This window comes from Homo sapiens, chromosome X, assembly GCF_000001405.40.
Source record: "Homo sapiens chromosome X, GRCh38.p14 Primary Assembly".
NCBI lineage: Eukaryota > Metazoa > Chordata > Mammalia > Primates > Hominidae > Homo > Homo sapiens.
The window spans coordinates 75,283,023-75,297,751 of record NC_000023.11 but is presented as its reverse complement, the minus strand read 5'-3'; the positions used below and the strand labels follow the sequence as shown (position 1 = coordinate 75,297,751).

At 37.6% G+C, this 14,729-nt stretch overlaps 1 protein-coding gene across 6 annotated transcripts in view; it reads right to left on the bottom strand.

Annotated features, from left to right (window-relative positions):
* UPRT (uracil phosphoribosyltransferase homolog) overlaps positions 1 to 14,729 on the bottom strand; it is a 148,529-nt gene that overhangs the window by 7,146 nt on the left and 126,654 nt on the right. For 4 of the 6 annotated variants that reach the window (NM_001363821.1, NM_001307944.1, NM_145052.4 and 1 more), the window contains 3 exons: positions 4,238 to 4,280; positions 1,341 to 1,410; positions 199 to 261 (listed from right to left, as the gene is read on the bottom strand). In NM_001363821.1, the coding sequence (NP_001350750.1) occupies positions 199 to 261; positions 1,341 to 1,410; positions 4,238 to 4,258 (154 nt within the window). In that variant the 5' untranslated portion in view covers positions 4,259 to 4,280. Of the gene's footprint in view, positions 1 to 198; positions 262 to 1,340; positions 2,734 to 3,131; positions 3,190 to 4,237; positions 4,281 to 14,729 lie in introns of those variants that run through there. The other 2 variants (NR_030774.1, XM_011530867.4) reach the window with 2 other exon arrangements.

Below are 14,729 nucleotides of genomic sequence, written 5' to 3'. Positions count from 1 at the left end.
CGCTCTGTAGTTAAAATTAGCCAAACCTAGCCTCACACAGGCCATGACTCCACAGCACCATGAGGCTAGATAACACAGGTAGTGAGATTTAACTAAAGGCAGGCTGCAATTATGACAGACAAGCCTGCCTCTCTTCTGGAAAACAGCAACCATTTCTATGCATACAAAGAGACAAAAATCACACACACGTGAACCTACCGCTTCTCATTATGCTGACCCCACAATTTCCCTTCTCAAATTTCACTCCTTCATACTTGTACCCTGTTAGGAAATAAAACCAAAGAATTTATCTTTCATCACTGGAGTAACCTACATATTTTATAAAGTGTCTACGGTTTAAAGTAGATGGGCACAAAGCAACCCTTGTTCAGACACACTGTATAATGCCTGAGATTCCCTGTGGAAATAATGAGATGAGTCATGATTTTTCAGTTATTTCTTAATTCTTCATAAGAAACCTGTGGGGATAATTGGGAGAGGCAGACTTCATTGAATGGGAATAGGACTTATTATAACACGATATTCACATACACATTCCTCAAACTGAATTCAAAGAGAATCACTGCACTCTGAGAATGCTATATACCCCATCAATTCAAACTGGGACCCCACTGTGAGCCACAGCAGAAAGCTTCCTCATTCCATTCTTCTTTATGAGCCTCTGTTCTTCTTTATGAGCCTCCATTCTGCCTTAAAAGCAGAAGAAAGTGGCTGAAATAGTTATTAAGACATGCTCAACTCTTGGTCTCATCCTGAATTTGTGTCAATTATGATGCTACAAACTCAGTCCCCAAGTTTCATAAAGTAAACCCTTTGAATAGAACAGTTTTACGTTATTTACTGAACCAAATCATAATTTCAAATCCCTGAAACAGGGATCTTTGGCTACTTTCTATTAAAGGATAGAACAAAGCACCTTCTCCAATTCTTATCATTTTTAGTTTTCTTTTTTACTTTCTATCCTTTTTTAACATGTAATTTCAGTGCCAAAACAGACTTGCCCATTTGTGCTCACCAGCAGCTTTCCCATAGAGATGAAGATAAGCTGCCAGCAATTCTTAACTATGGTCTCAATGGGCCATCATTAGAGGCAACACGTGCATGCTGAAGAGTATTTGTTAACCTTTAACTTGAATTGACAAGCAAGCCCTTAACAAAAAGTCATCTACACAGATTTCTTTCCTAAATGCCTGAGTTTTATTTTTAAGATTTTAAAAGAATAGCTCCACCTAGCCCTTCATTTTGCATATTTATTTTACTTAGACTGCTTTACTTACATCTTTCCCCATTCTAGCTCAGAATTTTTATGAGGAAAATTTGAGAATAACAGCCCTAGTTACCTGTTGGAGTGGTCACCATGCATTCTTTATATGGCAGCTGATTCAATCCCTCTTCCACAACAAGTCTGATCTAGAGAGTCAAAGGAAGAAGAAGTTGAGAACCTGCTGGGAATCTCCTGTTAGCTGTTAGCTTCAGGAGCTGAACAGTAGGCAGAGTCATGAACACACTAGGCAAAGGTTTCACTTGTGGAGGCAGTAAGGGGCCCCCTATCATGTGTTAGATACAGGGATAGATCCAAATGCCATACTACTTGCTGCTAGGTATCCAACCTCAGATAGGCCATGATTGTCACCAAAAGGCTCCAATATTCCTTCTGATTCTCATTCTGTCAGTCCAGACTATGAGGGACACAAAACTCCAGCAAGTGACAACAGTCATGGCAAGCACTCTTGGAAGTAATATACTTCTTATTATTCTGGAAATAGTGCTCACTGGGAATTTCTCTGCTTTATTCAGTACCTTGGAAATCATTAAGTCAGATTATTTTTAACAAAGGCCCACTATAATGTAAATAAAGCCTGAAACTTCTTTAGAGGAAATAAATGAGTGCATTGGCTGAACCAATTTACTGAGCTTGAAGGAGGATCCAGTAAAATGCACTGGGGCTTCTCAGCTAAAGAAAAGGCTCATATCAATCATAATGTGTGGTACAAAGGAAAGCATCACTCAGAACTACTACAAGAGCCTCCAAAAACAAGATATGGTAATTCCATGAACAACCAAAGCCAACTACAGTAAAAGTAATGCTGAGTCTGCAATGCACATTTTATCCAATCAACATTACATTACTGATTGAGAATCTGCAACAGCAGGGAGCAGCACCAGGCCCTATGCTCTGTTATCACAACATATAATAACACCCTGCTGCCATTAAAACAATCAATTCTAAATAAGCCAGGATTTTGTCAGCCTGCAGCATCAGACAGAGGGCCCAGGCACCTCATGAATACTGCACATGTGTGCATACTCACTTCCAGCCACCATCTTCTGTGGAGATTTTTTTTTATGAGCAAATTACAAGGGTAAAAGAGGATTATTTTCTTTGAAGAGCCTAGATCTTTTCCTCCTAGTAACAGTCCTCTAATGAGTCTTACCTCCTATCCCCATCCCCTCCAACACTGGGACAGAAATTAGTGTGCCCAACTCTTACAGGAGTGCATAAAATCAGAAGAGTGACTAAAATATAAAGAACCCAAGGATCTGAGGGCCAAGGAAGCCAACCCTGACAAATTCAGGATGAAATTAATATATATATGATAATATATATTAATGACATGTGCTGCAGGAGATAGTGTACTAGAAATCCTCAAGAAGTTAAACCTAAATAGCTCCAGTCTCTACCACAACCACAACAGACCCTTTCTCACCCCATATCAGGACCTTGAAAGCCACCTGCAGAGAACAGAGAGAGATCCAAATCATTATCCCCTCAGGTGAATTATGCCATAGGTCCTTACTATCTCACTGGGCTAAGATTATGCTTGCCCTTTCAGGGAAGCATCTTACAATAACCGTGAACTTAACTCCTACTTTCTATAGAAAAAGAGCATAAGAACAGCAAAAGAAAGAGGAACCGTTTTCTACCAGTAAACACCAAAACAGCAGCCATTAAGATACAAGTTCTTCAAGCCTGTTCTTTTGGTTTGATAAAAGCATAAAAGACAGAATGACGTAACTATTGCTCCAGGAATGTCAACCACATTTATCTTGTTACTATCTAAGGGTTATTACTGCCAATGAAAACTCAAATAATTTTAAATAAAATTGGTCTCTGAACCAAGAATACTTACGATGAAAAGCAGAACAGGAGTTGTCTATGCTCTTTTGGAATAAATCCTCAGGCAAAACCTAAATGAAAAGTTTCATGCCTTTTTTTCACATTCCTTTTAATCATCTACCTTAATCTGATTATAACTTTGGGGCTAAGAAGCCCTGTTCATTCCTTTCTTTCCCAAACTAAATTTGCACTTAGTTTGTAAATCTAGTATTTAGATCATAAACACCAAGAGATTAGAGACCATGCCTACATTCTTCACTATTGTATCTCATCTCTCTGGACACAGCCTAGCACAATACCTGATTCACGCAATTTTAGTGAAATACATTCATGAAATATACACTAAACTTCATGAATATACACTGAATATAAATATACATTAAACTATATATAAATATAAATATACACTAAACTTTCCTGAATGTAATGTATTTTCTGCTGTGGATTGAAACTAATAGCCACAGCAGAAAACATGTCAACCTCACTTCAAGCACTAAGCATGCTTAGATATTAACACAAGAAGAAAACACAGTGCTTACCCTGAAGACAAACCAATTTGGACTGAGATCCTCTCAGATCACACTAGCTAAACAGAATTGAGCTTGGTCAATTCTTAATAGGAAGTGCCTGAGGAAACCATAGACAGTCAAATGTACTATTTCACATGTGAAGGCTAGTACAGGAAAGAAGAGGCAAAATAAGCCTCCCCCTGCTGCCGCCGTAAACTACAAGAAATATATATTTTTGTACATTCGTTGGATACCACAAGTGTAACTATGAGGTCTCCTTACATTTTTGGTTTTCTTTTAATGTACTTCACTGCCCTAAGAGGAGGCACTTAAGAATTGCTGAAACTCAAGTTACCAAGATCCATTTGAGAGGTAGTGTTATCTCAGAAATACAGGGAATTAGTTCATGGGCAATGCTTTGTGGTGAAAAGTATTGAAGTAGATCTTTAATGCAACAGTGAAACAACACTTCATTAGCCTAGCAAGATGATGGTTACTTAGTACAATCTCTTTCAGCCCCAGAATGCTCTAGAACAAAAATATCCCTTGGTCTACCATGGTTATATCACTAGGCAAAACAATGAAATGAAAATGAAAAGCCCCCACCTACCAAACGATCCGCAGAAAACATGAAGTCACCTCTACTGGCTGTCCTAAAAAAAGATAATACAAGTTTTAGTCTAAATTAGAGCTTTAAGGCAAAATGTTATTTAATATGTACAGTAACACTGATATTAAGACCTATAACATACTAAAAGCTTAAATGCTTACATGTACAGACTATTACTGAGGCAAGATACTTTTTACTAGGATACAGGCACCTAAATGAGATAACTTGATCAATAATGAAAATGCTTGATACCAACATTAGAGACTGGAACTGAAAAGATCATGCAGTCCCCCACTGAGCTGCCCAAGTACATATTAGTCAACCGGGAGATGAACAAGTTACCCCTGGAGGGTGAGAGCAAGTCCAGAGCTAAAGTTGAGAGGAAACTTTGCAGTAAGAGAAGCAGTTTCTCCCCATTCTCCCCCTCAACTCACCTTGATCTAAAACCCATATTACCAAGATAAGTAACCCATCTACTTTGTAATCCTTTTTGGAACTAGAATGGTACCAATAAATAAATCCTCTGCTTTTGCTACTGCTTTCAAAAACATATAAACTAATTTCCAAGAACTCATTCTCAAATAATTGATAATTTGTTCCTTTTGACTGTTTTTTCAAATGAGTACTTCATTCCCTAGATCTTTCTGCCATTTTCCTGTCCATTTCCTCTGGTCAATATCCTGAGGTAACCAAGTAATAATAATCCAGGGCTACGTCTACCCACAAGCTGTTAACGAGCCAAAAAGGGAATGTTAAATAACTGATGTTATTTCTGCACATAAAAATGTAGTATTGTTCCTCATCTTTCTTCCATATAAGTTAAATGATCTGACTGAATGGATTGATTTACAGCTTATGTACTTAAAAACCCCCATCTGCCTATCTATGGACCACCTAAAGTATTCTCCAAAACAGCCTCAAAATGATATATGCAAACACATATTATCTCAGTATATCATTAATTTCCACTCTTTTGCCTCAAGTTGCATTTGATTTCCCTGAGATGGAAAAAGCAATGAAATAGCCCTGACACAAATGGCATTAGGTTTCTTAACCACAGTTCTATCATACTACAGATATTAGCTCTCTAAAATATAAACCACAATTTAGCAACAGCAAGAATATAGGTCTGTGTTGTTTATTTACAAAAATTCCTTAAACTCAGAAAACTCTATCCACACATACCTACACACACACAGAGCCCCTTTAAAACAGGCTCAATTTCACGTACTGTGGTTTTCAAATAAGACTATACAATTACACCAGCACCTTTCATTTATATAATTAATCTTCACTCAGTGAACTGCAAAAAATACTGAAACCTACTGCTCTGTTTGCTAGGTCTATACTAACTTACCTAGGCAGCTAGAACATAGTTTTTCAACAAGAAAGAAGTCTGGATTTGACTTAAAGACATATGCGGTGTTATATATTATAGGAGACACCTGAAATGTCAGTTTTAATTTCTGAACAGTTAGATATCACTTTATTACAGATAAACAGTATATTAGGTTAAGTAATCAGAGTCGCCCAAATCTGTTATTTTACTTTGGAATCAAACATTTTACCACCTTTCACACCCTCCCCCACAAAAAAATCAGCCTCAGCTGATAACTTTTGCACAATAAGCACCTGCTTTCTCTATATTCCAAAAAAGGTACACACTGTGAGAACCTAATATGAGCTGTTATCTCTTGACAGCTATTTGACCTCCAATAAAATCATTTACCACTCCAAGTAACTCTACTGCAAGCTGTAATTACTTACCTATTTCCTGCTGTATAGACGGACTTCAGATCCATACTATTCATTTTAAATCCATTTAGAAATTAAAGTATATCTAGAATACAATAAGTTGACCTCGTTTTTTTTTTTTAATTCCACAATGGCCTTCAATATCATATTTAAATCTTTAACATTGTTAAGACTAGAGCTTCATAAAGCAGGTATTTACTTGTATCAATGAAGCTGCATGTATTCTCTGAGGCTCTATTTTAGACACAACGCTAGGCTGAATTATTTGTTAACAGGGATGTTTTAATATGAACCAGACTCCAGATCTTCTTCATTCCACACACTTCATTTTAAATCATAACCGTAATCTCTCCTACTGGAAAAAAAGCTTTGAAAGACACATTAATTATCTTCTATCTGATAATAGTTCCAAATAAAGTCTAATGTAAAATTATCACAATGTAAAAAACACACATGCACACATCCCTGGAATATTTTTAAATACATCTAAAAAACCAAATATCAAATATTTAAACAGATAATGATATCCAGGCACTTGTAATCCAAAGTATAGATATCTAATTGTTAAGCTGAGCATATTTTAAATTGTACAAACCCCAAGCAGGTTTAGCGATGCAGATTTAACCATATCTGAGAACCCACTTTTCTTGACACCTCCTCACATAAACAAATGTGTCACACACCTGTAGCATAAGACAAACGCCAAAGGCAGTCATTTTAAAAAGTTATCTTCACACTGAAACAACAAAAGAATGGGATTCATACTGGAAGCCAAATCCTCATTTTTTAATTTACTTTTTTTCAACTTTTATTTTACATTCAGGGGGTACATGTGCAGGTTTTTTACCTGGGTCTATTGCATGATGCTGAGGTTTGGGGTACAAATGATCCTATCACCCAGGTACTTAGTATAGTACACAACAGTTAGTTTCCCAACTCTTGTCCCCCTCCATCCTTCCCCCATTTAGTAGTCCCCAGTGTCTACTGTTGCCATCTTCATGTCCATGAGTACCCAGTGTTTAGCTCCCATTTATAAGTGAGAACATGCAGTATTTGATTTTCTGTTCCTGCATTAATTCACTTAGGATAATGGCCTCCAGCTGCATCCATGTTACTGCAAAGGACATGATTTCATTCTTTTGTATGGCTACACAGGATTCCATCATATATATTTACCACACTTTCTTTATCCAATCCACTGTTGATGGGCACCTACATGGATTCCATGTCGTTGCTGTTGTAAATACTGTTGTGATGAACATACAAGTGCGTGTGGTTTTTTGGTAGAACAATTTGTTTTCATTTGAATATATACCCCGTAATGGGATTCTTGGGTCAAATGGTTTCTAATAATTTGAGAAATCTTGAAACAGCTTTCCACACTGACTGAACTAATTTACATTCTCACCAAAAGTGTATAAGCATCTCCTTTTCTACACAGCCTTGCCAAGATCTGTTGTTTTTTGACTTTTTAATAATCACCATTCTAACGGGTGTGAGATGGTATTTCATTGTGGTTTTGATTTGCATTTATCTGATGATTAGTGATGATAAGCATTTTTTCATATGTTTGTTGGCTGTTTGTATGTCTTCTTTTGAAAAGTGTCTGTTTATGTCTTTTGCACCTTTTTAAGGGGGTTCTTTGTTTTTTGCTCGTTCAATGTGTTTAAGTTCCTTACAGATTTCTGGATATTACACCTTTGTCAGATTCAGAGTTTGTGAATAGTTTCTCCCATTCTGTAGGTTGTCTGCTTACTCTGTTGATAGTTTCTTTTGCTGTGCAGAAGCTCTTTAGTTTAATTAGGTCTCACTTGTCAATTTTTGTTTTTGCTGCAATTGCTTTTGAGGACTTTGTCATAAATTCCCAAGGCCAATGGTAAGAAGGGTAATTACCAGGTTTTCTTCTATGATTCTTGTAGTTTGAGGTCTTACATGTAAATATTTAATCCATCTTAAGTTTTCTACATGGTGAAAAGTGGGGGTCCAGTTTCATTCTTCTGCATATGGATAGCCAGCTATCCCCAAACTATTTATTGAATAGGTAATCCTTTCCCTATTCCTTATTTTTGTTGGCATTGTTGAAGATTAAATAGCTGTAAGTCTGTGGCTTTATTTCTGGGTTCTCTACTCTGTTCTATCAGTCTGTGTGTCTGTTTTTTCACCAGAACCATGCTGTTTTGGTTACTGTGGCCTTGTAGTATAGTTTGAAGTCAGGTAATGTGATGCCTCCAGCTTTGTTCTTTTTGCTTAGGATTGCTTTGGCTATTCTGGCTCTTTTGGGGCACCATACGAATTTCAGAATAGTTTTTTTTTTTTCCAATTCTGAGCAAAATAATGTTGGTAGTTTGAGAGGAATAGCATTGGATCTATAGATTGCTTTGGGCAGTGTATCCATTTTACCAAAATTGATTCGTCCAATCCATGCACATGAAATGTTTTTCTACTGTGTCATTTATTATTTCTTTTAGCTGTGTTTTGCAGATCTCTTTGTAGAGATCTTTTGCCCCCTTGATTAGATGTATTCCTAGGTATTTTTTTGCAGCTATTGTAAATGGAACTTTTTTTCATTTATTTACTTTATAGATATGGGATCTCACTATATTGCCCAGGCTGGTCTTGAACTCCTCAGCTCAAGTGATCCTCCTGCTTTGGCGAGCCACCATGCCCAGCCCTGTAAATATGATTGTGTTCTTGATTTGGCTCTCAGCTTGAATATCATTGGTGTATATAAATACTACTGATTTTGGTACACTGATTTTGTATTCTGAAACACTACTGAAGTCATTTATCAGTTCCAGGAGCCTTTTGGTGGAATCTACAGGGTTTTCTATGTATAGAATCATATTTTCCATGAAGAGAGATAGTTTGACGACTTCTTTTCCTATCTGGTTGCCTTTTATTTATTTCTCTTGCCTGATAGCTCTTGCTAGCACTTCCAGTACTGTGTTGAATAGGAGTGGTGAGAGTGAGTATCCTTGTCTTGTTCCAGTTTTCAAGGGAAATGCTTCCAGTTTTTGCCCATTCAGTACAGTGTTGGCTGTGGGTTTGTTATAGATATATGGCTGTTATTATTTTCAGGTATTTTCCTTTGATAACTAAGAAATGATTTTTTGAGTGGTTTTATGATAAATGGATGGTATACTTTATCAAAAGCTTTTTCTGCAGCTGTTGAGATGATCATATATTTTAAAATTCTTTTTATGTGTTGAATCACATTTAGTGATTTGCATATGTTGAATTATCCTTGCATCCCAGTAATGGCACCTACTTGATCATGGCAAATTAACTTTTTGATGTGCTGTTGAATTTGTTTCGCTAGTATTTTGTTGAGGACTTTTGCATCTATGTTCATCATAAGTGGCTTGAAGTTTTCTTTTTTCATTGTGTCTTTGCCAGGTTTTGTTATCAGGGTGATGCTGGATTCATCGGATTCATAGAATGAGTTAGGTAGGAGTCCTTCCTCCTTGATTTTTTTGGAATAGTTTCAGTAGAATTGGTATAAGCTCTTCTTGTATGTCTGGTAGAATTCAATTGTGACTCTATCTGGTCCAGGTCTTCTTTAGGTTGGTAGGTTTTTCACTACTTATTCAATTTTGGAACTTAATGTTGGTCTGTTCAGGGTTTCAATTGCTTCCTAATTCAATTTTAGGAGAATGTTTGTTTCGAGGAATGTATCCATTTCCTCTAGATCTTCTAGTTTCTGCATCTAGAGTTGTTCATAATAGTCTCTGAGGATCTTTTGTATTTACATGGGATTATTTGTAATGTCACCTTTGCCTTTTCAGATTGCGCTTATTTGGATCTTCTCCCTTTTTTTCCTTTGTTAATCTAGCTAATGGTCTATCGATTTTGTTTATCCTTTCAAAGAAGTAACTTTTGACTTTGTTGATCCTCTGTATGAATTTTTGTGTATCAATTTCATTCACTTCCACTCCGACTTTAATTATGTATTTTCTTCTGCTAGCTTTGGGGTTAGTTTTTTCTTGTTTTTCTAGTTCCTCTAGGTGTGACATTAGATTGTTAATGAGATCTTTTTAACTTTTTGAGGTGTTTAGCACTATAAACTCCTCTTAATGCTGCTTTTGCTGCATCTCAGAGATTTTGGTATGTTGTGTCTCTGTTTTATTTCAAAGAATTTTTTGCAAATCCTCAATTTAATGTGGACTTGTTAAACCTGACTCTTTCCTAAATATTAAGTGAGACTGTCTATAAAGCACTTTAACATTTCCTGGGGCTGTAGCAATTGTATATATTTAAAAATATCTACATCTCATAGTAGACCCAAAACAACATGAAACCTTTTAAGAGTCTCACTGATCTTTCTTTCAATAAACTAATAGTTACCTATCCACAAGATATAGAAATATGAAAAAGAGGAAAATTTTTATAATATTAAAATGTTAACATGGGGAGCTTCTCCCATCTTCTTACTAAGCCTCACTACTACTAGTACTATTACTATTACTACAACTTCTAAATGGAGGGATTCTCCCCTGGGATAATTACAACTTCAATTCTCACAGCAGATATTGACATTTTATCACTCATTCTGTTTCTTCTCTCTATTCAGAATACACTTAACAACCCTCATCTTTTTTTTACAAAAATCAATTTAACAACTACATATACATACGTATGTGTGTGTGTGTGACATATATATATCCTAAATTACAAAGACTTAAGTATATAACTCTTCTTAAAAAAAGGTCCATAAATTACAGGAGGTACCTAATGTTATACACATATTACTACCTTCTTTTCCAGAGGCCACCATCTATTAAAAGCTTCCTTGGTGCCCAGTAGTAACCACTTTTGGTATATTATCTCATCTAATCTTCATACAATTTAAGAAGTAGATTTTATTATCACTACCACTTTAGCAATGAGAACAGTGAGGCTTCCAAAAGTAAAGTCAGGTTCCTCACAGCCTGGAGCTCTCCAATTCCAAGTCTCTGAGAAAAGCAATGACTTATATTTTGCCCTAATAAGGGAATGCTTACTACTAAAAGGTAGCCAATTTTTTAGATGTCCTGTTATGATACTTCTCTCCCTGTGACTCCGATTGATATGTATATACAATGGAAACACAAAACAATGAAAGAGTTTGGGAGGCAAATAAAACATCATTAAAATATTCCTTCTGAAGAGGGAAAAGTTTTTATAACGTGGCTTGTAAAATACGTACTAAGGTTACCACATACAAGAATATACCCTTTCCAACAATGACTAAAGCAAAATCTTGTGACTTATCACCTAAAAACAACTTAATTTAAATAAAATGCTAGTAGCACTGAATTAATTGTCATTTCAAAAATTTAAATATATCACTCTCTCTGGGAGGATTATATACAAAGTTTGTTTGTAGCATATGGGGCGAGGGGCAGGTTGGGTGTTGTAGTTGGGCATAGGTTTGCCAGATTAAGTAAATCAAAATCAGGACCCACCCCCCCCCCAAGTAAATTTGTATTTCAGAAATCCCATGAAATATTTAGGACATACTTAACATAAAAAATTATTCATTGTTTATTTGAATTCAGATTTAACTGAGCATCCTGTACTTTGCCAGGCAATCTAAGTTGAGGAGGAAGAATTAAATGGACTCAAACTCAGCTCTAATGTGCTTTTTTTGGTTTTGAGCAACAAGTTAAAGGAAAGTACAACAAAAAAAGCTTTTCCGGCAGGTTTTAACCAAAGGAATGTTTCATTTAATGTTTAGTGAAAACATGAGCTTTACATCCATAACTACTTTATTATTATGTGATCACTAAAATATAGTCCCAAAGTTTGTCGTAGTATACAGATGATTTATGAATGGTTTTCCTTCTCCTTCCTTTACCTTCACAAAAACAAACCCCCAGTGAAGAATTTGGAGCAAATTTAACCAAAAGCAAAAAGTTTAAAAAAAATAATATTATGTTACTATTTTTTTTTTTTGCCAGGTGCAAGGCATCAAGGCCACAGCACTTTAGCGCCTTCTTAATAAACTCACAGAGTGTCAATAACTATTTACCTGCACCTCAAAGCTGCATTCAATGTGAACATTCAAAATAGGACAGAGGAGAGGACCCACAGACCCTCTTAAGGAAGCAGATTGCTCCTGCAGGACCTGGGAGATACCCCAAATACTGTGAGTGCCCCAACTGTGGAAGTGAGAAAGGGAGACCCTCCCCTCCCAAACACACACCCCCACTGAAGAATCTGAAGGTCTGTTTGTGGGAGAAATGTATGACCTTACCTGGAGCTGAGTCAATTTAGAGAGCCGAGTGAAATACAGGGGTAGAGAAAGCAGCAGAAAGGCCCTGGAAGCTTGCTGGGTCCCCAAGCAGCCCATTCCTGCCTGACAAAACAGGGATCCATCAGGAGGGAGGCCAGAGGAGCAGGGGGTAAATCTCCACAGGGAGAAGGAAATCTCTAGCTGACCTTTTTAACAATTTCAATGGGGCAAGAAGCCTCCTGGCCAGAACTAGGGGGAGGGCACAAATCCAGTGTGCAGACTCCACAGGCAGGGAAAGAAGTTTTTCTTTCTCAACTTGGAGGCAGGTAGTCTGGGCAATTTTTCAAGCCAGTCGTGCCCACTGCCTGGAAACAGACTTGGGGCTGTTGGAGGGGGCATGGTGGGAGTGAGACCAGCACTTCGGTTTACATGGGAGCTGGGTGAGGCCTGTGACTCCTGGCTTTCCCCCACTTCCCTGACAACCTGCAGAACTCAGCAGAGGCAGCCATAATCCTCCTAGGTACACAACTCCAGTGACCTGGGCATCTCGACCCCATCCCCTACGGCAGCCACAGCAAGACCGGCCCAAGGACAGCCTGAGCTCAGACACACCTAGCCCTGCCCCCACCTAATGTTCCTTCCCTACTCACCCTGGTAGCAGAAGACAAAGGGCATATAATCTTAGGATTTCTAGGGCCCCACCCACCACCAGTCCCTCTCCATACTACTACAGGTGATGCTCTCTGGAAAGTGCCACCTCCTGGCAGGAGGCCAACCAGCAAAAAAATAGAACATTAAACCACCAAAGCTAAAAACCATAATGGAGTCCACTGCACCCCCCCCTGCCACCTCCACTGGAACAGGCACTGGTATCCATGGCTGACAGACCCATAGGCGGTTCACATCACAGAACTCCATGCAGACAACACCCAGTACCAGCCCAGAGCTGAACAGACTCTCTGGGTAGCTGGATCCAGAAGAGAGACAACAATCACAGCAGTTCAGCTCACAGGAAGCCACATCCATAGGAAACGGAGGAGAGTACTACATCAAGGAAACACCCCGTGGGACAAAAGAATCTGAACAACAGCCTTTGGCCCTAGATCTTCCCTCTGACAGAGCATACCCAAATGAGAATGAAACAGAAAACAAACCCTGGTAATATTACATAACAAGGCTCTTTAACAGCCCCCAAAAATCACACTAGTTCACCAGCAATGGATCCAAACCAAGAAGAAATCCCTGATTTACCTGAAGAGGAATTCAGGAGGTTAGTTATTAAGCTAATCAGGGAGGCACCAGAGAAAGGCAAAGCCCAATGCAAGGAAATCCAAAAACGATACAAGAACTGAATGGAGAAATATTCAAGGAAACAGATAGCTCAAAGAAAAAACAATCAAAAATTTAGGAAACTTTGGACATACTTTTAGATATGGGAAATGTTCTGGACAGTCTCAGCAACCGAATTGAACAAGTAGAAGACAGAAATTGACAGCTTGAAGACAAGGTATTTGAATTAACCCAATCCAACAAAGACAAAGAAAAAAGAATAAGAAAATATGAACAAAGCCTCCAAGAATTCTAGGATTATGTTAAACAACTAAACCTAGGAATAATCCGTGTTCCTGAGGAAGAAGAGAATTCTAAAAGCTTGGAAAACACATTTGGGGGAATAATTGAGGAAAATTTCCCCAGCCTTGATAGAGACATAGACATCCAAATATGAGAAGCACAAAGAATGCCTGGAAAATTCATCACAAAAAGGTCATAGCCTAGGCACATTTTCGTCGGGCTATCCAAAGTTAAGATGAAGGAAAGAATCTTAAGAGCTGTGAGACAAAAACACCAGATAACCTATGAAAACCTATCAGATTAACAGCAGATTTGTCAGCAGAAACCCTACAAGCTATGAGCTATCTATCTTCAGCCTCCTCAAACAAACAAACAAACAAACAAAAAATCAGCCAAGAATTTTGTGTGCAGCAAAACTAAGCATCATACATGAAGGAAAAATATAGCCTTTTTCAGACAAAGGCTAAGAGAATTCACCATTATCAAGCCACCACTACAAAAACCACTAAAAGGAGCTCTAATTCTTGAAACAAATCCTGGAAACACATCAAAACAGAAACTCTTTAAAGCATAAATCATGCAGGACCTATATAACAAAAATACAGGTAAAAGGCCAAAACTAAAAACAAAAAAAAACAGTACATAGACAACAAAGAGCACAATCAATGCAACAGAACCTCACATTTCAATACTAACATTGAATGTAAATGGCCTAAATGCTCCACTTAAAAGATACAAAACCGCAGAATGGATAAGAACTCACCAACCAATTATCTGCTGCCTTCAGGAGACTCACCTAACACATGAGGACTCACACAAACGTAAGGTAAAGAAGTGGAAAGAGACACTTCATGCAAATGGACACCAAAACCGAGCTGGAGTAGCTGTTGTTATATCAGAAGAAACAAACTTGAAAGCAACAGCAGTTAACAAAGACAAAGAGGGACATTA